This window comes from Homo sapiens, chromosome 12 (genome assembly GCF_000001405.40).
Source record: "Homo sapiens chromosome 12, GRCh38.p14 Primary Assembly".
NCBI lineage: Eukaryota > Metazoa > Chordata > Mammalia > Primates > Hominidae > Homo > Homo sapiens.
Window position 1 is genome coordinate 108,702,785 of NC_000012.12, and position 23,777 is coordinate 108,726,561.

General features: G+C 41.0%; 1 protein-coding gene across 3 annotated transcripts in view, besides 4 other annotated features; it reads right to left on the reverse strand.

Annotated features, from left to right (window-relative positions):
- Positions 1 to 23,777, reverse strand: part of CORO1C (coronin 1C) — an 86,410-nt gene that overhangs the window by 57,676 nt on the left and 4,957 nt on the right. The window contains exon 1 of one of the 3 annotated variants that reach the window (NM_001105237.2): positions 12 to 214. The exons of the other annotated variants lie outside the window; for them this stretch is intronic. Within the exon in view, the coding sequence (NP_001098707.1) occupies positions 12 to 165 (154 nt within the window). The 5' untranslated portion in view covers positions 166 to 214. Of the gene's footprint in view, positions 1 to 11; positions 215 to 23,777 lie in introns of those variants that run through there. 3 annotated transcript variants of the gene reach the window in all.
- Positions 9,823 to 9,882: an enhancer, noted in NCBI's record as "active region_6977". NCBI's record gives its function as "activates an Ori minimal core promoter by ATAC-STARR-seq in GM12878 lymphoblastoid cells {active_cell/tissue: GM12878}" and the evidence as "EXISTENCE:reporter gene assay evidence [ECO:0000049][PMID:35858748]".
- Positions 11,583 to 12,273: an enhancer, noted in NCBI's record as "H3K27ac-H3K4me1 hESC enhancer chr12:109108143-109108833 (GRCh37/hg19 assembly coordinates)". NCBI's record gives its function as "activates a minimal SCP1, AML or CMV promoter by ChIP-STARR-seq in naive and primed H9 embryonic stem cells {active_cell/tissue: H9 hESC(naive and primed)}" and the evidence as "EXISTENCE:reporter gene assay evidence [ECO:0000049][PMID:30033119]".
- Positions 12,274 to 12,964: an enhancer, noted in NCBI's record as "NANOG-H3K27ac-H3K4me1 hESC enhancer chr12:109108834-109109524 (GRCh37/hg19 assembly coordinates)". NCBI's record gives its function as "activates a minimal SCP1, AML or CMV promoter by ChIP-STARR-seq in primed H9 embryonic stem cells {active_cell/tissue: H9 hESC(primed)}" and the evidence as "EXISTENCE:reporter gene assay evidence [ECO:0000049][PMID:30033119]".
- Positions 12,965 to 13,654: an enhancer, noted in NCBI's record as "NANOG-H3K27ac hESC enhancer chr12:109109525-109110214 (GRCh37/hg19 assembly coordinates)". NCBI's record gives its function as "activates a minimal SCP1, AML or CMV promoter by ChIP-STARR-seq in primed H9 embryonic stem cells {active_cell/tissue: H9 hESC(primed)}" and the evidence as "EXISTENCE:reporter gene assay evidence [ECO:0000049][PMID:30033119]".

The window sequence follows — 23,777 nt, forward strand, 5'->3', positions numbered from 1 at the left end:
GAGTCTCTTACCCTTCCAACGCATGTGTGAAAGTGGCCTCTCTCCAATGCTGGGGGCATGTAGCCGGGCTGAAGTAAGAGACCCTTGGCAGGCAATTGAGCATCCACGTTCCTTAGCCCAGCTGTTATTGCCAGACTTTCCCAGCTGACTACCAGGGCCATACATTTTGAGTCTTTGGTAGAGGAGATGGCAAATGATTCGTGGCCAGGGTCCTTCATTTTGGAATCAATATGAATACTTCTCAAGCGTGAGTTAGATAAGACAGCTTCCATGAGGTGGTGAAAAGCAAAAGGAAAGCACATCTATACAAAAGCCAACGTACAGCCAGCTGGTCTTGGGCTCCACTTCCCCACACAACCATCTGCAACCATCTGTACAAGTTATAGAAGCTGCAATCCCTACCAGCATCTTCAAGCAAGTGTTTCAAAAGTAAGCTAATGTAGAAGAAAAAAGGATTGCACCATGTCAGAGTTAACATCCTTCATAAATAAAACGTTCTTACAAATTCATACAATTAAAACCCAACAGAAAATTAGACAAAGGATATGAAGAATTTACAAAAGAAACACAAACAGCACTTATCTCCACTCCTTCCTAAAATCCTAATAAAATGAAAGCAAAAAATAAAAGCAGGTAAAAACATGAAAGGACAAGAGGACTGGAAAAGAGGCTACAAGAGAGCAAATGTGACAATAAACTTTCGAAGATGGAAAGCTGTCATGCACGTGTAACTGACTGAAGTGTGAGTGTCCTCTACTCAGCTGAGTCTCAGGAGGAGCGCACAAAAAGGACATCAAGGCCCACTGTGAATCCCCAGAACACTCCAAGGAGAAACTGTGTGTCTCCAAAGACAGGGATGTGGGAGAGGGACTACAGAGAAAATGACTGAAAGCCTGAATTAGGAGCAGCTGGACACCCAGATCCCAGGGCTGCACAACCAGGGTACTGGCCTGCCCTCTCCCCAGCAGAAGCCAGGAGAGGCCTGACTATGGGCCTGGATGACACCCAGCACAGGTGTGAACAGATGCCTCACTGACAGCCTGGTTCTATACAGTGGGGCCTCCAGCCCCTTGTTCCTCCTGGCTCCCAAGATACCACCTGCCTTACCCCACAAGAGATCAGACATCACTGCCCTCAGTGAGGTCCACCATTCAATGTGCCCCTCCACTCACACAGGCATAAGGTCAGCTTTTAGAACCTCACTTTTAAATGTGAATGGATATTTGAGGAAGGCCTCTCACTTGAAAAAGAGAGACGATTTTTCCTCTTCACTCAAATAGGCCAGATACCATCTAACCTCATAAAAATAGGAAGATTAATATAAATATGTAAAATGCTTTGTCTTCATTGAAAGATACTATACAAATCTTCTGGCTGACATACATACTAAACTACCTTAAAAAGTGATTTCCACCAGGCGCAGTGGCTCACACCTGTAATCCCAGCACTTTGGGAAGCTGAGACGGATCACGAGGTCAGGCGATCAAGATCATCCTGGCCAACATGGTGAAACCCCATCTCTACTAAAAATACAAAAATTAGCCGGGTGTGGCGGCAGGCATCTGTAATCCCAGCTACTCGGGAGGCTGAGGGAAGAGAATTGCTTGAACCTGGTAGGCGGAGGCTTCAGTGAGCCAAGATCGCACCACTGCACTCCAGCCTGGGCGACATAGCAAGATTCCATCTCAAAAAAAAAAAAAAGTTATTTCCATATTATGCATACTTATTTTCATCCTAAATACATGTGGATAGAATGATATAGAAGTTCTTTTGCTACAATCACAGAGTAGAATGTTAGCTACAGGGCAGAGACAGTAAGAAAAGCCAGTGCTTCCGCAGTGCTGTGCTGAGTCAGGCATCTCTAAGCGGAGCTTGAAGGGCAGTGTGAGCCCATTCACTTCCAAGGTCAAATCTGATCTGGGCTCACCTGTGTACATGTGGCATAGCCGCTTTTCTTGCACAGAATGTCTCAGGCCCTCCAGGCACACAATAGAGTATAGCAATTAAGAGAGCAAACTCCAGAGTCAGACAGCCTCGTAAGTGAGAAGCACAGCTGTACTATTTACTTCCTGGCCGTGGTACAGTACAGCAAGTCACTAAGTCTCCATTAAGTGTAAAATTCTCTATCCAAAAATGGGTACAATGCATATAAAGTTGAAGTGATCATTAAATGATCAATTGGTGATGGGATGGTGGCAGGAGATTCTTATGCTATAATAGTACCTTGTATGGTTAAATACACAAAATTAATCACTCAATAAATACTAGCTACTATTGTCATCCTAGTAACTGACATAAGATAATTTGGATTCAAATCTGAGCTCTGCAACATATTAGCAAATTACTTAACCTCTCTGAGCCTCAGTTTCCCATTCACAAAATGAAGGGAATGATACCTGTAATAAGAATGTAGGCCGGGCATGGTGGCTCACGCCTGTAATCCCCACACTTTGGGAGGCCGAGGAAGGCAGATCACTTGAAGTCAGGAGTTCGAGACCAGCTTAGGCAACATGGTGAAACCCAGTCTCTACTAAAAATACAAAACTTAGCCAGGAGTCCCAGCTACTAGGGAGGCTGAGGCATAAGAATTGCTTGAACCTGGGAGGCAGAGGTCGCAGTGAGCCGAGATCACGCCACTGCACTCCAGCCTAGGTGACAGAGCAAGACCCTGTCTCAAAAAAAAAAAAAAAAAAAAAAAGAATGTAAACCAACCACAGACAAGAAAGCCCAGACCCAGATGACTTCACTGCTAAAGTCTATCAAACATTTAAAAAATACCAAGTACTCACAAAATTTTCCAAAGATAGAGAAGAAGGGAACACTTTCAAACTAATTGTATGAGGCCAGTATTATCCTGATACCAAAACCAAACAAAGACATCTCAAGAAAATTACAGACCAATATCTCTTATGAATACAGATGCAAAAAATCCTCAACAATACCAGCAAACGAAATCAAGCAACACAGAAAAAGAATTAGAATTATACACCACAATCAAGTGGGATTTATCCTAGGAATGCGAGGTTGGGTCAACATCTGAAAATCAATTAACGTAACACATTATATCAATAGAAGAAAAAAAAATCACACAATTATCTCAGACACAGAAAAAGCATTTGAGGCTGGGCATGGTGGCTCATGCCTGTAATCCCAACACTTTGGGAGGCTGAGGCAGGGGGATCACTTGAGGTCAGGAGTTCAAGACCAGCTTGCACAACATGGTGAAACCCCATCTCTACTAAAAATACAGAAGTTAGCCAGGCATGGTGGTGGGCACCTGTAATCCCAGCTACTCGGGAGGCAGAGGCAGGAGAATTGCTTGAACCCGGGAGATAGCAGTTGCAGTAAGCCGAGACAGTGCCACTGCACTCCAGTCTGGGCAACAGAGTGAGACTCTGAATCAAAAAAAAACAAAAAAAACAAAAAAAAAGCATTTGACAAAATTAAATACTCTTTCATGATAAAACACTCAAGAAACTAGGAATAGAAGGGAATTTCCTCAACCTGATAATGGGCATCCATGAAAATACCACAGCTAACTCAATATTCAATGGCGAAAGATGCCTTCTCCCTGAGATCAAGAATAAGATGAGCTTGTCCACCCTTGCCACTTCTATTCAGGATTGTAGTACAGGTTCTAGCCAAGGCAATTAGGCAAGAAAAAGGAGTAAGAGACATTCAGATTGGAAAGAAAGAAGTAAAACTATTTCTGTGTGCTGAAGACATGATCTTATATACAGAAAATCCCGAGGAATCCACTAAAAGAACCAGTAAGTTCAGTAAGGTTGCAGGATACAAGATTAATATATAAAAATCATTTTTTTTTTTAAGATGGAGTCTTGCTCTGTCACCCAGGGTGGAGCGCAGTGGTGCAATCTTGGCTCACTGCAACCTCCGCCTCCGGGGTTCAAGCGATTCTCCTGTCTCAGCCTCCCGAGTAGCCGGGACTACACTGCACCCAGCTAATTTTTGTATTTTTAGCAGAGACAGGGTTTCACTATGTTGGTCAGACTGGTCTCGAACTCTTGACCGCAGGTGATCCTCCTGTCTTGGCCTCACAAAGTGCTGGGATTACAGGTGTGAGCTACCATGCCTAGCCGTATTTTTATAAAATCATAACAAACAATCCAAAAGTGAAATTAAGAAAACAATTCCACTCACAATACATCAGAAATAAAATACTTAGAAATAAACTTAATCAAGGAGATGAAAGACTCATACTCTGAAAACTCAAAATACTGTTGAAAGAAATTAAAGACACAAATGAATGAAAAGAAATTCCACATTCAAAAATCAGAAGACTTAGCATTGAGATGGCAATATTCCCCAAACTAAGATATAGATTTAATGCAATCCCTATCAGACTCCCAGAAGAATTCTTTGTAGAAATGGATGAAGGGATTGATTGGAACTGCAAGGGATCCAAAAATACCCAAATGACCCTGGGGAGAAAAAAGAGAAAAAGTTAGGAAGACTCCTATTTCCTGATTTCAAAACTTACCTCACTACAAAGCAACAGTAATCAAGACTGTGTGGTACTGGAATAAGGACAGACATTTATATCAATGGAATATAATTAAAGTCCAGAAGTAAACTCATACATCTTTGGTCAACTGATTTTCAACAAGAGTGCCAAGACAATTCAGTGGAAAAACTCTTCTCAACAGATGGTACTGGGACAATACGTAAAATAGCTAACTCAAAATAGATCAAAGACCTAGACATAAGAGCTAAAACTATAAAACTCTGAGAAGAAAACATAGGAGTAAATCTTCACAGCCTTGGACTGGGCAAAGGATTCTAAGATATGACACCAAAAGCACAAGCAACAAAAGAAAAATTAGAAAAACTGGATTCCATCAAAATTTATAAACTTTATGCCTCAAAGGACACTATCAAGAAATCGAAGACAACTCATAGAATGGGAGAAAACTTTTGCAAACTTTATATCTGATAAGACACTTGTATCTAGAGTATAAAAAGAACTCCTACAATTCAATAATAAAAACATAGTCCAATTTAAAAATGAATCAAAGGGACTTGAATAGACATTTTCCAAAGAAGATGTACAAATGTCCAATACACATGAAAAGTTGCTGGACATCATTAATCAATGGAGAAATGAAAATCAAAACCACAATGAGAGACTATTCCATACCCACTAGGATGGCTAAAATAAAAAATTCTGAGAGTAACAAGGGTTGATGAGAATATAGACAAATCAGAACCCTCATACACTCCTGGTGGGAATGCAAAATGTTGCAGCTGATGTGGAAAAGTCTGAAAGTTCCTCAAACAATTAAACAAAGCATTATCATAAGACCCAGCAATCCACTCCTAGGTATACACTCATAAGAACTGAAAACAGGTAGTCAAACAAATACTTGTACATGAGTCTTCATGGAAGCATTATTTACAAGAGCCAAAGGGTAGAAGCAACCCAAATACAGACTATCCATTGTATCCAATGGATAAACAAAATGTGATATTACCTGTACAACAGAATATTATTCAGCAATAAAAAGGAATGAAGTACTAATACATGCTACAACTTGGATGAATCTTAAAAACATTATAAATGAAAGAAACCAGTCACAAAAATCGACATACTAATTTATATGAAAGTCCAGAATAGGCAAATCTAGAGAGACAGAAAGTAGATTCATGGTTGCTTAGAGTTTTTTTTTTTTTTTCTGAGATGGAGTCTTGCTCTGTTGCCCAGGCTGGAGTGCAATGGCTCAAACTCGGCTCACTGCAACCTCTGCCTCCCAGGTTCAAGCAATTCTCCTGCCTCAGCCTCCCAAGTAGCTGGGATTACAGGCGCCTGCCACCACGCCCAGCTAATTTCTGTATTTTTAGTAGAGACAGGGTTTCACCATGTTGGTCAAGCTGGTCTCAAACTCCTGACCTCAGGTGATCTGCCCACCTTGGCCTCCCAAAGTGCTGGGATTACGGGCGTGAGCCACCGTGCTCGGTCTATTTATTATTTTTTTAGAGACAGAGTCTCACTCTGCACTCAGTGTAGTGGTTCAATCATAGCTCATTGCAGCCTGAAACTCCTGAGCTCGAGCAATCCTCCCACCTCAGCCTCCCAAGTAGCTGGGACCACAAGCGTACGCCACCACACCAGGCTAATTTTTTTTTTGGTAGAGATGGGGGTCTAACCATGTTGCCCAGGCTGGTCTCTAACTAATTGCTGGCTTTAAGGAATATTTCCATCTCAGCCTTCCAAACTGCTTGGATTATAGGCATTAGCCACCATGCCTGGTGTGTTTCTTTTAAGGTAATGAAAATGTTCTAAAATTGACTGTGTTGATGGTTGCAGATTATTTGATTATATATATATACTATAAACCGCTGAACTGTACACTTTAAATGAGTGAATTGTCTAGTATGTGAATTATATCTCCAAACTGTTTTTTTAAAAAAACTATAAAGTACTCAGCATAGAATCTGAAGCATAGTACATACTGTCTAACAAATGTTGGCAATTATTATTTAAGAGCCCAGTAATAGCTTTTCCCTATCCAGGGAGAAAACCTAAGCAAGTCCCTACTGATTATGGGCTAAAAGTAGAATTTTCATATAAAAGAACCGGCACCACTTATCAAGGACTCTTTACAGAATTTTATGTTCTCCCATTTCAGCACGGTATTTCTGCAGTTTAATTTCTCTGCAAACAAAGGAAAAATTGGGAACTATCCCAAACACAAAAACTTCCTCTTCTTAAGAGAGCTGTCTGCATTGTCAAATGGTATTAGTGTTTTACCACTTTAAAAACTGTTCAGTTTTAACCTTTAAATTAAGATGGCATATCACCAAACTTAGGAGTTCTGTTATCAGCTATATTGTCCCAAACTGATCAAATCATAAATTAGATGACTAAAATGTCCCCCTAAAACTAAAGCATTTTATAAAGGGATCTAATTTTCTCAAAAAAGAAAAAAAAAGAGTAAATGAAAAAATCCTGAACTAACACAATAGGCACAAATTCCAAGGAAATACTAGGTATGATTTTAAATGTCCTGTCAGAGAGTGGTTCAACTTTGGAAAAACTGCTTGCTCATTAGGTCTTTCAAGTACAAGTTCTTAAAACTGCATAGGCTTTCCCTTGCTTGCAACAGTAAGATCATCTCAGTAATAAAGAGGAAGACGATGTAGCAGTAAGTTATTCACTAAGCAAATCAAAGGAATATTTACAAGTTTCAAAATAAACTTACTTTCAATGGGAGATAATGCAACAGAGTTTTTAACCTCTACAAAACATGGGAAATACAAACCTTACTTGTCTTTTTAAGATGTAATTTATCACTCTCCTCCTATTTTCCAATACAACAGCAACTATTCTAGAATGGTTTTTATTATAATAAAAATTGATACACCTTTGAGACAATGCAGGAATAGGTTGAGAACACAGGCTCAACTATGAGATGCTCTCTCTGGGCGTTGGTTGAAACCTCTATCTTAGAAACATGGACAGTTGTCTCCCTCACCAAGTTTTCCAGGTGATACTGAAGGCCAAAAAGGAGGATTACGGGCTGCTCTGCCTATGGAGTAATCATTCTTTTATTCCTTTACTTTCTTAATAAACTTGTTTTCACTTTAAAAAGAAAAAAAATGGATTACGGGACAGGTTTTGACTATCCAGCAACTGTCATAATAAATTTTTAATAAGGAGATAACACACTCCTCTTTTTATCTTCAAATAAAATGTAAAAGCTGATAACTAATATTCATAATACTTAACATCTAAGGAAACAAAAAAGTTAAAATTTTTCTTTTTTTTTTTCTTTTTTTTTGAGACAGAGTCTCGCTCTGTCACCAGGCTGGAGTGCAGTGGCACAATCTCGGCTCACTGCAACCTCCACCTCCCAGGTTCAACGATTCTCCTGCCTCAGCCTCCCGAGTAGCTGGGACAACAGGTGTGTGCCACCACACCCTGCTAATTTTTGTATTTTTAGTAGAGATGGGGTTTCGCCATGTTGGCCAAGATGGTCTCGATCTCTTCACCTCATGATCCGCCTGCCTCAGCCTTCCAAAATGCTGGGATTACAGGTGTGAGCCACCGCGCCTGGCCTAAAATTTTTCTTACATGTTGGGTGAATATTTTAACCAAGAACAAGTAAAAATAAGGTCTACCTCTATGGTTTAAAGGCTTTATGTGTCAGAGAAAATTTGTACTCTTGCAATAAAACCTTCATCTTATTAGTCAGGTGATAATCCTCAACCTCTAGGAGAGTGTAAAGGCATGCTTCTTATAATACTACCATGTGAAGTTAAATGTACAAAATTTACATGCCAGGCACAGTGGTTCATAGTTGTACTCCCAGCATTCTGGGAGGACAAGGCAGGAGGATGACTAGAGTCCAGGAGTTCGAGACCAGCCCAGGCAACATAGCGAGACCCCATATCTACAAAAAATAAAAAAAAATTAGCTGGGTGTGATGTTGTAGTATACCCCTGCGGTCCCAGCTACTCGGGGAGCTGAGGTGGGAGGACTGCTTGAACCCAGGAAATCAAGGCTGCAGTGGGCCATGATCATGCCACTGCACTCCAGCCTGGGTATCAGAGCAAGACCATGTCTCAAAACACAAAATACAAAAGAAAGAAAAGGGCCGGGCATGGTGGCTCACGCCTGTAATCCCAGCACTTTGGGAGGCCAAGACAAGTGGATCGCCTGAGGTCAGGAGTTCGAGACCAGACTGGCCAACATGGCAAAACCCCATGTCTACTAAAAATACAAAAATTAGCTGGGCTTGGTGGTACATGCCTGTAATCCCAGCTATTCGGGAGGCTAAGGTAGGAGAATTGCTTGAACTCGGGAGGCAGAGGTTGCAGTGAACCGAGATCGCGTCACTGCACTCCAGCTTGAGTGACAGAGCAAAACTCCGTCTCAAAAAAAAAAAAAAAAACTTATCTTATAAGCTACATAGGAAACATGTAGGGTGTTAGGAGGAAAAAATGCAGACAAGACAGGGTATTTATATTGCAACAGCACCAAATAAAATACACTCAAAACACCTGAGTAAATGTTACATTTTCTCTATTCTACTTCCATCTCATAAAAAATGACAATTTTGACATTTTTCCTGTTTATTGAAAAGCTATCTGTTTAAAGATTCCAGCAGATGTACTTCTATGGTTCATATGAAAGGAAACACATCCTGCTAGGAACACATACAGGAAAACCCCTACTAGTAGCAAAATCCTGCTCAGCCCATTTGCTGAGACCATTCCAGGGCGTCGATTACTCAAGCGTTCAGTGGGCAGAGAATGCTCCCTCAGCCAGTGGCAACCACAAGACTCTAAAATGTCCCATTAGAGGAAAGACCATGTTTCCTCCAAGCCACTGTTACCTGTATGGCAGGTACTTTAATGTAGAAGAGATCCGATGTGTTATTCAATAGAAAAAGGCAGGTAAGACAGCAGATGAGGAGACAAATATCCTAAACTCAGTTATTTAAATGACAATGCCAACAGTAAAAAATTCCTTTTAAGAAGATGGAGGCCGGGCAGGGCGGCTCACACCTGTAAATCCTAGCACTTTAGGCAACTGAGACAGGTGGATTGCCCGAACTCAGGAATTCGAGACCAGCCTGGCCAACATGGTGAAACTCCATCTCTAGTAAAATACAAAAAATCAGGTGGGCGTGGTTGCAGGTGCCTGTAATCCCAGCTACTCAGGAGGCTGAGGCACGAGAATTGCTTGAACCCAGGAGGTGGAGGTTGCAGTGAGCCAGGATTGTGCCACTACACCCCAGCCTGAACAACAAGCGAAACTGTCTCAAAAAAAAAAAAAAAAAAAAAAGGAAGTGGGAAATGTAATAATATATAAGCCTACATAGAATACACATTCACGAGAGAGCAGACACCCAAAGCAAATATAGGAGGTACTCTGATTAAATATAAAAATTTGGCCGGGCACGTTGGCTCACGCCTGCAATCTCAGCATTTTGGGAGGCTGAGGTGGGAAGATAGCTTAAGGCCAGGGGTTCAAGACCAGCCTGGATAACATAATGAGGCACTGTCTCTAAGAAGGCTGATGCAGGAAGACTGCTTGAGCCCAGGAGTTTGAGGCTGCAGTATGCTATGATCATGCCACTGCACTCTAGCAAGATCATGTCTCTTTAAAAAAAAAAAAAAAAAAAAATCATCATTTCCGAATATGAGATAGCTGAGCTTTTTCAAATTTTCTAAATTAAATCCAGCAGTGACACTCAAAGAAAGAATTTACCTAACGAATTGCATATTTCTACTGCATGCAACTCTTTAACAGATTCATACATGAGACATTCCAAGAAAAAAAAACATGCCTTACCTATTTTAATAGAAGCTGTTTTTAAAAGAGGAAGAAAAAAGACCACATGCAACATTTGCTATAAAGCACAGCAAAATGTCAGATACACAACAGATCTCCTCATACACAGCAGTTTTGGCTGAAAGAGATTTGTATTCCACTGCTGATATGGACTTGTTGAAAAAAATGTTTTTTCTAGAAAAACTATTGACCACTTAGCATGGCCGACTGACTGCAAGTATGAATAGCCTTGATGTTGGTTCAATTGATTATAACACCAGGAATGGTAAAAATTAAGGGAAAAAAATTCACATGTATTACATAGCCTTCCAAATAGTTTCATCCCATCATTATTAATCCAGGTAACAGGTAAGATGCCAAGAATGAGGCATACCAGTAAAAATGCATTTTGTTTCAATTCAATAACTCAATATCATTTAGTTTTTAAAGTTTCTAAGAATAAAGAGAAAATGCAAATAAGATCTACCAAGAAGCCTCCAGGCTCGGGCCTCACAGAGCTAGGCCTGGAGAGAGTTCCAAAGCTCATCAATTCCAGGCCCGTCACGTTTCAGCCTGAAGACGTATAACTCCTCCAAAGATAAAGAACTTCTGAGAAAGATGCAGTGACCTTGAACTACAAAGTACGGAGCAGTTCCAACTTTTCAGCCCATGAACTGTCATACTTTTCCAACAATCAATCCCGAATCATATATACAATTCAGTTTCTCCACATCAGCCAACAATGGCACTTAGAGCTCTGTCCTGTGGGTGCTGCTTTGACAGCCCCCAGTCCAGTTGGCCAGTTTGTGTAACACTTTAAATGTGAAACTGCACTTTGCCTACACTTTATAAATATGAGTAAAAATGGAAAAATCAAAATACAGAAACCAGCTGTAGGCATTCAAATGTACTGAGACAAACAAGAGGGTATCTGTTATGACCAAGGAAGCAAATCTTACTTCTCACTGAAAATCCTTAGCTTAGCCAGAGGACTATGTGCTCAGTTGTCCAAGAAAAGAACAACCTGGGCCGGGCACAGTGGCTCACACCTATAATCCCAGCACTTTGGGAGGCCGAGGTGGGCGGATCACGAAGTCAAGGGATTGAAACCATCCTGGCCAACATAGTGAAACCCCATCTCTACTAAAAATACAAAAATTAGCAGGGCGTGGTGGCGCACAACTGTAGTCCCAGCTACTCGGGAGGCTGAGGCAGGAGAATTGCTTGAACCCGGGAGGCAGATGTTGCAGTGAGCCAAGATCGCGCCACTGCACTCCTCCAGCCTGCAGCCTGGCAACAGAGCGAGAGTCAGTCTCAAAAAAAAAAAAAAAAAAGAGGAACAACCTGAAAGAGCATGCATAAAACACTAGAAACACACACACACACCCCAAGGATAGTATCTAAAAGGTGAGACATTACAGGTGCGGTGGTTCACACCTGTATTCCCAGCACTTTGGGAGGCTGAGCTCAGGAGTTGGAGACCAGCCTGGGCAACATGGCAAAACTCCATCTCTACCAAAAATACAAAAAATTAGCCGGGCATGATGGCGCATGCCTGTGGTCCCAGCTACTCAGGAGGCTGAGGGCAGGAGGATTGCTTGAGCCCAGGAGGCAGAGGTTGCAGTAAGCCAAGATCACGACACTGCACTCCAGCCTGGGGGACACAGTGATACCCAAAAAAAATAAAAATAAAAATAAAAGGTGAGGTATAATAAAGAGGTATCATACTTTTTAAAGTTTTCAAAGAAGAGCACTCGTATATTTACATTTTATAATCTATACTCATTTTAGGAACTTCTTACAAAGAGACTTGGTTGGGGACCACCTAAAGTCAAACCTAAGCACTCACTGGCAATGTGAAGCAGAAAGCAGTGAGCGCATTGCAGAGCGTAATGTGACGCTATGAAAATGACTGCCGAAAATCAAGTCTGACAAGAAGTAAAATGAGCAGCAAAACAGTAACACATAATGAACCTGAAGACAAAAGATAAAATTCCTAAAACTGGGCTGGGTGTGGTGGTTCATACCAGTAATCCCAGCACTTTGGGAGGCTGAAGCAGGAAGATCCCTTGAGCCCAGGAGTCTGAGGCTGCACTGAGCTATTATTGCACCACTGAACTTGATACCAAAAGACAAAGCGAAACTGTGTCTCTTAAAAAAACAAAACAAAACAAAACAAAACTGTAATTCCCTCACATCTTATTAAAGAGAGACCCTTTTATGAACTAAAAGATGCCATAATGAGGCCTGTAACTCACTTAAAATATAATAGAAATGACACTACAGAAATTTTGCAGTTACTAAAATGTGAGAATATATAAGGACTTCGAAATCATCTCTAGCTCTTCAATGACAGAAATATATATTTCTATTACAGAGATAATGTGCAAGGATGACATGTTTACAACCCTCCACATCTCCCAATTTTCTGCTTATCACCAGCATCTTTATAAACACAACCACCTCTTTTGGTCCCTGGAGCTTTGAAAAAGCATTGCTGAAGAAACGTCCCTTGGGAAGACAAAGGCAGGCGCTACCTGACCCGCCTCCTCCCTCCCCCCCTCCCCCCCGCATACTCACAACACTGGCAGCAGCCATCTCCCTAAAGTGCACCACAGGAGACCAGACTCAGAAGCTTAATTCTGTGTCTCTCTTCAAAGAGCAGAACACAACTCAAAGAGCCAAATTAATCCCAAGAGGTCTCACACCAACCGCAAAACTTTTATAGACATGAGTGACCTAGCAATCTCACTTAAAAATTAATCCTTGAGGCCGGGCGGGGTGGCTCACACCTGTAATCCCAGCACTTTGGGAGGCCGAGGCGGGTGGATCACAAGGTCAGGAAATGAGACCATCCTGGCTAACACGGTGAAACCCCGTCTCTACTAAAAATGCAAAAATTGGCCAGGCGTGGTGGCACGCGCCTGTAATCCCAGCTACTCGGGAGGCTGAGGCAGGAGAATCGCTTGAACCCGGAAGTCGGAGGTTGCAGTGAGCCAAGATCGCCACTGCACTCCAGCTTGGCAATAGAACGAGACTCTGTCGCAAAAAAAAAAAAAAAAAAAAAAAAAAAAAAATCCTTGAATATGTTTCTAAACATTCTTTCTATATTGATGACCTACTTTTCTTATCAACAACTGGTAAAAAACACACTGTGTATGACAGTTCAAACTTGTTAAGTCTGTTTTTCACTACTTAGTCATATGGAGTAGACAATAAAATTTTATTAATTATTTGGCAATACTGTTATACCAGGAAATGAAATTACTGGATGCTCATATCTTAAAAAGGGATGGGGGATATTTTTATTAATAACTTCATAAGGCTAGTCACAGGCAAAACTAGCAGTGTCAAAAAACAAAATAATCACCTTCACCTGAAGAATTTCAGCCTTCCCTTTTTAACCCATACCTTGGGCAAGCGGAGATTAAATGGATTAAATGAACATGTACTCCTGACAGTGTTTCAAAGGAACATTAAGGAAGAGTAGGAAAATCTCTGGCTTGGATGTCAGACACAAATTTATCTTGACATAATTACCTACCCAGCTAGATCATTTTGGTCCTCTGGTTGTTTGTTTCTTCATCTATAAAATGGAAGAACTAAAATAAATGATTTCTAGGGTCCTATCAGAGTCTACAGGAAATCCTTCTTTCACTGGGATACAGTCCACATCCCCCCCAGTAAAACAGACACAACTCACTGCAAACCACATTACTTACTAACATCCACAGGGTTATACGTATTACATATATACTCAACTATGAATGTTGAATAGGTCCTTAATCCCAGTCATTCTTTTGTTCAACAACTATTCACTCGGCTTTGACCATGCGCCTAGCACCATGCTAGACATGAGAGACACAACTGTGAGCAAGCAGACCTGGCCCCTGCTCTCATGGAGCTTACAGTCCACTGCAGGAGACACAACACAATCAGATATTCGTGCAAACATTAGCATGCCGCTGTGGCAAGTGCTGGAATGCAGAAGAACACAAGGTAACTGAGTCAATAATCGGGGAACAGAAGCAGTCAGAGAAGCGACACTTAAGCTGAAATCAAAGAATGAGAAGTCAACTGGGCAATAAGAGAAGAAAAGTGAGTCCCAGCTGGGAGGAACAACAAAATATCAAAAGTCTGTATCAAAAGCAAGCACTTGTCAGAATCTGGACTACTTAGCCCACAGAGGCTGGAGCCCAGAGAGCAAGGGTAGAAGAGGCTGCGAGGTCAGCAGAACCCGGATCACAGAGGGCTTTCTAGGCCATGTTAAGGATTTTATCTGTACTTGCAGTCTTGGGAGCCATAGGAAATTTTTTAAGTATGAGTATGTGACATAATTAGATTTGCATTTTAAAAGCTCACGCTGAATGAAGCTGGAGAATGGATCTGCACGTGGGAGCATCTGAAAGGATTCAGGGAAGCTAGTTAGGAAGTCACGGCACTTGTTGTCCAGGCCACAAGTCACAGTCCCAGTAGAAACAGAGATGATGGAGCCAAAAGACTTGAAGTCAACTGAATTTAAAACTGTTTTAGATATGAAGGGTGCATCAACAGTGATGCCTAATTTGACTCATGCAACCAGATGGTTGGGGGTGCCTTCCCACCTTCTCTTTGGTGTGGAGACTTACTTACTACCTCTTAGTAGTAGCTTCAAAGAGCCTTCTGTTGACAAGTAAGGTATCTGAAAAGAGTAAAACCATGGGAAAAATACTTTAAAATTTATTTTTTAAAACATAATTACCTTTCCACATTAATAATTGGATCCATGGCTTTAAAATTATGTACTTTTGCTCGCAAAAGTGTCTGGAGCTTGAAGAAAAACGTATTGAGCATGCTATTTGAAAATGAAAACTAGGCCGGGCACAATGGCTCACACCTGTAATCCCAGCACTTTGGGAGGCCAAGGCGGGTGGATCACCTGAGGTAAGGAGTTCAAGACCAGTCTGGCCAATATTGTGAAACCCCATCTCTATTAAAAATACAAAAATTAGGTCAGGCCTGGTGGCTCACGCCTGTAATCCCAGTACTTTGGGAGGCCAAGGCGGGCAGATCACAAGGTCAGGAGATTGAGACCACCCTGGCTAACACGTTAAAACCCCATCTCTACTAAAAATATAAAAAATTAGCCAGGCGTGGCAGTGGGTGCCTGTAGTCCCAGCTACTCGGGAGGCTGAGGCAGGAGAATGGCATGAACCCAGGAGGCATGAACCTGGGAGGCGGAGCTTGCAGTGAGCTGAAATCGCACTACTGCACTCCAGCCTGGGCGACAAGAGTGAGACTCCGTCTCGAAAAAAAAAAAAAAATACAAAAATTAGTGGGGTGTGGTGGCACATGCCTGTAATCCCAGCTACTCAGGAGGCTGAGGCAGGAGAATCACTTGAACCCGGGAGGCAGAGGTTGCAGTGAGCAGAGATCATGCCACTGTACTCCAGCCTGGGCAACAGAGCAAGACTCCACCTCAAAAACAAAAAGAAAGAAAGAAAAGAAAAGAAAATGAAAACTAACACTGTTTAAAATAAAAATCTCCCTATGTTTCTGGAATTTTCAGACATCCTATAGAAATAGGAAAGTATAGCGCTTACAATCTTACTGCACCTTAGGAAAAATAATTTTGTCTGCCTGATCCCTTTTGGTAAAATTAAAAATATTTCCTTATCAGCATATGCATCTTCTAAAGCGAAGGAAAAAACAAAACAAAACACTCAATATCAGTATCTATAATAGAGTACAAGAAACTAAGAATTTAACTCACTGGAGATAATGTAGTTACTACCAAATACTTTACCACCATTCAATACCTTTAGAAGAAGGTCTCAGGCTCTTCAGGAAGAAAACAGCACACATTCAATTTCACCAATAAAATGAAAATATCTCTAGGGAAGTGAAGACAAATAAACACGGCCCACTTTCAGAAGGAAACATTTGGGCTAAATATTCTAAGAGCAAATACTCTACTACAAAAAGCTTTTATCAGCTGTAGCTGGTAAAACTGTAGCCCTAACTCTCCCAAATCCATTTTCCTTCCAAACTGTATCAAGACTTGAAAATTATAATCTTTAATTCTCTATGCTAAATTAATTGGACATCACAATAGTAACTAAAGAGAAATTATCTATTCCTTATGAAAGTAGGACAAATAATTTTAAGTAGAAGGCCAGCAAAAAGATCCAGGGGCTTCCTATCCCTAATACTTTTTTAAACAACTACATTTATGGTTTATGGTACCCTCAAAAAACTACCAGAAATAACACACACACGTATACACACAAATGCAATTACAAAATAATTCATTTTTTGTGACCACTTATCGTGAATACAATATAAACCAAAGTCTACAGTTTTTCAGACTTTAGTATGTATAAATGAACTCCTAAGCGATTAGATCATTTTAACAGTTGTAGTGGTGCACAATTCACCCTATCTTAACTTACTCGGTCCTTGTCAAATTCTCAAGTCAAACGAATTCTCAAATACATTAAATCCTTGGGGCTCCAGGAGTCACTCAAATGCCCTAAGGCCTGCCCTATGATTTCTCTGGTGCTGGGCAGGGCACACCTAGAGGTCCACTGCAGACAAACCTCCACCTTCACCTCCTCCTTCAGGGAGAACATAAGGCTATTTAATGACAATAGCGCATTAAAGGATGAGAAACTCAAAAAGAGAAAGATAGTGAAGGAAAACAGCTTTTTCAATGGCTACCTTAACTTTAAATCCCCTTGACAGAAATTATGGTTCTTGCCATATCTATCTTCATTGTTAAATGAAAGCATGCTTCCATTGGGATGTTACTTCATTGACTCTAAAGTCAAACTTGCTAACCAGGCCAGGCACAGTGGCTCACGCCTATAATCCCAGCACTTTGGGAGGCTGAGGCGAGAGGATCACTTGAGCCCAAGAGTTGGAAACCAGCCTGAGCAACACAGTGAGACCCCGTCTCTACAAAAATATTAAAACATTAGCCAGGCATAGTGGCGTATGCCTGTAATCCCAGCTACTCGAGAGGCTGAGGTGGGAGGATCACTTGAGCCTGGGAGGGCGACGCTGCATTGAGCCTCAATCACACCACTGCACTCCAGCCTGGGTGACAGAGCAAGACCCTGTCTCAAACACTCATACAGACACACACACACGCACACACAAACTTGCTAACCAGAGCTATAAAATACAGCCATAAGAAACCCATGCTGCCAATAGTTTTAATTTATTCAAGAAATCAATTAAGTTAATTTGTGATGAGTACCAAAATGTTGTGTTATCCTGCTTTTTATCAGAACATATGCTTTAAATAATCAAAACCCCAAAATTTGCTTTACAAATAAAGCATGTTTCAATAAAGGAATGTGTATGTATATCTGTGTGTGTAAATTTACACATATAAACATCTTGCTAACATATTTATTTACAATAAAAATTACGAAGTTAGTTTATAATAACATAATAAGAATTTTTTTTTTTTATTTGAGATGGAGTCTCTCTTTGTTGCCCAGGCTGGAGTGCAGTGGTGCGATCTCAGTTCACTGCAAGCTCTGTCTCCGAGTTCATGCCATTTTCCTGCCCTCAGCCTCCTGAGTAGCTGGGACTACAGGCGCCCGCCACCACGCCCGGCTAATTTTTTGTATTTTTAGTAGAGATGGGGTTTCACCATGTTAGCCAGGATGGTCTCGACATCCTGACCTCGTGATCCACCCGCCTCAGCCTCCTAAAGTGCTGGGATTACAGGCATGAGCCACCGCACCCGGCAAATATTTACAATTAGTAGTCCTAGGCCATAGAAAACATCTTTATTCCTTTCATCTTCTAGGAAAATGGAAAGACTGACAATATCACAAGTGTATCATGCAAAGTTGAAATTCAATTACTCAATTAACATTTATTGAACAGCTACTATGCACCAGGCAATATGCTAGGAAATGGAGGCACCAAAAAATGTAAGATATCCTCTACCTTTAAGGAACATGGAATATAGCAGTATTATAAGGTGTTCACTTTCACAAACTGTAAAATAATTCTGTACTCAATCTCTAGTCATTTAATCCCAGATGTAATTAGTATTAGCATAGAAATCACTAACACTAGTGACACCCACAAATTACACTTTCACCTACCTTTATAACTCCATAACCAAACTATATTTACATTTTACTCTAACATATTGTATAAATGCATAACCTATTATCATCACTTTCCATAATCAGGGCCATCTCATCTACCCATCTTACACTACTCTTCCCTAATTACACCAGTTCTGAGTCAGCCCAGTACTATTAGGCACACCCTCAGGCAGGATCTCACTCCCAGTGTCCCACAAACACTGACTCTCCAACGCCTGTCTCCTGAATTCCCACAGAGCTCACAGTCTATACTGCAGAATTCACCATCAAAGAGTCATGTGCTTGAGGGCTGGAGGAGGCTTGTAATGTATTTTTTAAACTTTTACATAATTTAAAAGTAAATCAAAACATTAAGCTTGCCATAAGACTTTGTGAATACGAATTTTTTAAATGATACCAGAAAAATCAAGTCCCTAATATATTTTGCATCATAAAATGTTTGAATGAAAAGAGTTCTTTGAAACCAGTAGTTCAAACCCTTCACAGAGGCACTAACAGAATGGAGAGGTCAATAATTTCCCACTGTTTGATGAAAAAAGTGACTTTTTGATAAGTTTATAAAAGAATAGAAAAATAGACAGGACGAGTGCCCAGCTCTGGCCATTATAAGATGCCCCAATTTACAATCACTACCATGCCCTGATCAACTTTCCAAAGGTCACAGAAACCAAGCCACTTCGCCAAAACCTAAGACCCTTTCAAGCTGTGAAGTTCCCAAATGGAAAAGAAAAAAAAAAGATCAGAAAGTATTTTGAAAAAAATTTAGCAGAGTCACTGTTTTGGAGTGACAGGAAGAACCTTTCTAAAGCAGGCATGGTTTCTTCCTGATTCCAGGTATCAGGACTAGCCTCCTTACGTGGGGTCTGCCTGACTTCACATGCCTCTGCTCAACTTTCCCCTTGAAACCTTGCTGTAATGACTGAATGCAAACATTTCAAAGAGACAATCTGTTTATCAGTAAGGAACCTCCTCTTTAAAAATATTAACATTGTACACCTCTAAAAGGGTTAAAGAACATGAGTGAAATGACATGAATAAAGCCTGTAGTCATCCCAACCCTGAATAACAGCGGTAGTCTAGCAGGGAAATGAATTTGAACCATGTGCTTTGCTACCATGATTTAAAGAAAGTGAGCTTAACCAGGGAAGTAGAAGCTTCAAATTAAGAGAGAGATGAAGGAGGATGAAGAACAAGGAGGGCCAGCACAGACCTGGAGGGCTGCAGTGGCATGAGACCCCTGGACGCCACACAGCCTGCACAGGGAGGCTCCTGGGGCATGGGGCATGAGTCCTTACTTCTCTTTCACATGACTACCAGCTCCCAAGATCCAGAATTCCACTATCACCATAAACAATTTCAAAAACTGCTGTGAATTAAACAGATTCCTTCAGTCTAGGCTGGGAACGTACCCACCACTTACAATGCTGAATCAACACAATAGATAGAAATTACTACTAGTAGATCTGAGTTCCAAATAACTGAGTTAGACTCTGGAACACAACCCAGTCTTGAGTTGGGGACCAAATGTACACACTGCCTGCCTCCAAAACAGAAATTTCATCTGGGCTCTTGCTCATTCACTTTCAGAGAAACACACAGTTCATAACCATCCTTTGAAGGTATGATATGTTATTTGTTCTACTTGATAAAAGTAATTCAGTCCACTGCACTCAAGACACTGTCATAATGCATAAAAAGATCAAACTAGCAGTCTTAGGGAGAAAAAAGAAGACTTCCAACTTATCTTTTCCTACAGTAGCACTGTAAAGCAACAGTGGCCCACAGAAGAGAGAGCCTAAAGGACAGTTACTCTATTTCTAAAACAGACAACGTGCATCTTATTAAATATCACCCCCAAAGAACTGTGGCCAGCCCTCATTGGCTCCAGCCTCTCTCTTGCTTGCCAAGAAAAACTAGGATGACATTGTTAAGCTAAAGATACTACTAACCACAAAATTAATTCACCATCTAGCTTCCAAAGTGACTAGTTTCCTAATAAATCCCTCTGCTTAACAGAGATGACAGCGCACTTTCACGTGTGTTCCTCAGTCCCCACTCCAGCCACATTTGAGTTTTTATGTTAATAAATCAGTCAATTCTTTAAGTTCCTAAGAATGAAAGGAATTAGAATCTTTAACTAGGAAAGAATGCTTGACCATTACGAAAAGGAATTTAAGTATCTTTCCTGTGAAGTAAGCAAATAATGGTGATTAAACATTTGTCATAAGGAAGGGATGCTTGTGAATTTTGTCATGCACCCCTATGATATCAAAAGTAGAAAATACAGCCTGACGGCTTCACTCTCCTAACACTTCCTTTCCCATGTGTGTCTACTATGGTCTCTCATGAAAAATCTACAGCTTTGTTCATCCAGAATGAAGGCCTCAGCAGTTGTTGAGACATGGGGACCCACACCCAGTTCCACAATGGAGCAAGAAAGTCTCTTACACCAAACCACCATGTGACCAGACTTGCAGTCTGTCTTGGTTTCCCAAAGACAGAACAACCACATTGTGAAACAATAATCAACCTTTGCTAATCCTAAGTGGTTTTCATTATGTCTGTTACAATCTATATATTAATAGTTCAGTACTGGGCCTGTGTTGTTCCTGTCTAAACTTGGTGTTTTCAAATACAGACGGCCTACTAATGCCAATTTTTCTGGCAAGATGCAATGCAAGGGCACCTTTGCAATAATAATCGGTCTTCCAAATACAAGACAAATCTTTAAAACCACTGCTTACTAGTGCTCAGATTATAAGACTGAGGAAATTTAAAAGGATCAATAAAATACTGTCAAGGAGCTTTACATTAAAAATAGAAATCAAGTTTACCAAAGGTTTATCCAAGAGATATCATGTATTTTCAAGTTTCCTAAAAATGCATCTAAAAATCCTCCTAAAAACCTGGACCAAACTTCACAGTTTAATACATGCACAACCTGAATATGTGGGAAAAAGCAACAACAACAACAACATAGGTACATGCTACCAACTGTGGTGATTAACTGAAGAAAACTCCGTGAATAGGCTTGGTTTGCAGATCTGGCAAAAGAGCATGACGAAAGGCTAAGCAAATGGAACTGCTGCACTGGGTCAAAGACTACAAAGGGAAAGCCATGTCAGGTTCACATTGTTAAATAAAAAATCCACACTATACTATAAATTCACACAACTAACTATAAAAATTAATTCATACCACACAAAGGAAGGGGCAGTTAAGTTCCTGATCTTGGGTAAATCTGTCAAGCTCCTGCCACCAAAGTCTCCTCATCTGTAAAATGAGGAATAGACCAGCCCACAGTGCTTCCTGTTCTGGCTGTGATTCAGAGTCACCAGGGAACTCACACCCAGGCAGCTGGATTCATATAGGTCCACAGATGATCATCACAAGGCAGTCAAGAATGAGGACCTCTGTACCTGAGCAATAATCTCCCAAATCTCCCAAAATAATATATCCTTTAAAAGATGGTGAGATACTGGTGCCAAATATAATCCATTATTCATAAATTTTTAAGAAGAAATGTAGATCATTGCCTGACCAAAGGGGAAAAAATATAACTGCCTTCCACATACAATGTATAGGCCTTCCTACTCCCATTTATAGTCTCTCTCACTCTGACCTTTGCATTATATTAATTACTCATTACTGCAGCAAACGGGAGGAACTGTATTTTTGTTATTAATGTAAGATCCAAATGACAGGCCTAATTTAACATACCATAAAACTATAGAGGCTCTTTTCCCACACAGGATGTTACACTTTATCACACTGTAACCAGAAGAGTTATCTCAAGCACTGCAGTGCAATCTCCTTCAAATCCTAAAAAAATCCATCTTTTGCCAGGAACTTTCCTTAAAATGGACAGACAGACACACAGACAGAGAGACTGAATACACAGACCTGAATAGAGAAGACTGTCTGAATAGACATTTCCAATTCAGACAGATGCAAAAACACTGGAGGTGTTTTTAAGACCGCCTTCCCATCCTAAAATTAGACATTTTTTGCCCTCTTCAGTGACTCAACTTTGATTCAAAGTCTAAAATCCTCAGGTGGGAGTAGGAATCCATACCCTTAATAGCTTAATGTCAGATGTAAAATGTATTAAACTTACTCTATTTGCTTCTCTGCAGTTCCATTCATTAACAGACATTTAAGAGAGAAGAGAGGGAACAGGAATGTATTCAGTACCTACTCTGTATTAGGCACTTCATATAATTTTCCTTGCTTAATCTTGCCAATGACCCTGCAAGGTAAGCCTTTTGCATCTCCACACTACAGAGGAGGAAAGTGAAGCTCAGGGAGGTGAGGGAGCTGGCAAAGTCACAGCTAGCAAGAAGCGGAGCCAAGAGTGAAGCCCAGCTCTATCTGGCCCTAAAGGCCTGCACCCTCACGGCCTCAGTTCCCCTAAATACAAAACTCTCTTAGAACGAGAACTACAGAAGGTACCCATAGCTCACTGTCCCTAACTAGACAAAAAAGTTGACATTTTTCTTTCTCTTCTGTACTACCTTGCCACAATCCAAGCTTTAACGAACACACAAAGAAAAGGTATCCCGAAATGGCCAACTGGTTTCTCCTAATTCTCAGAAAGGTGCTAAGTGAATTTATTTATTTATTTATTTATTTTTTTGAGACGGATTCTTTCTCTGCCGCCCAGGCTGGAGTGCAACTCTGTCGCCCAGGCTGGAGTGTGATGGCGCAGTCTAGGCTCCCTGCAGCCTCTGCCTCCCAGGTTTCAAGCAATTCCCCTGCTTCAGCCTCCTGAGTAGCTGGGACTACAGGCGCGTGCCACCACACCCGGCTAATTTTTGTATTTTTAGCAGAGACAGGTTGGCCGTGTTGGCCAGGCTGGTCTCAAACCCCTGACCTCGTGATCTGCCCGCCTCAGCTTCCCAAAGTGCTGGGATTACAGGTGTGAGCCACCACGCCCGGCATGAAATATTTTTAATTAAAGTATTTTAAAAATAAACATAATCTGGGAGGCCGAGGCGGGCGGATTATGAGGTCAGGAGATCGAGATCATCCTGGCTAACACAGTGAAATCCCATCTCTACTAAAAAATACCAAAAAATTAGCCGGGTGTAGTGGCGGGCGCCTGTAGTCCCAGCTACTTGGGAGGCTGAGGCGGGAGAACGGCGTGAACCTGGGAGGCAGAGCTTGCAGTGAGCTGAGATCGTGCCACTGCACTCCAGCACTCTAGCCTGGGCGACAGAGTGAGACTCTGTCTCAAAAAAAAAAAAAATGAACATAAGAACACAAAATATAACTAAAGAATACTAATTTGAGTCAGACACCCCAAGAGAGGAGAGCATGAACAAAAGAATGAAGAGGCTGGGCATGGTGCATCACGCCTATAATCCTAG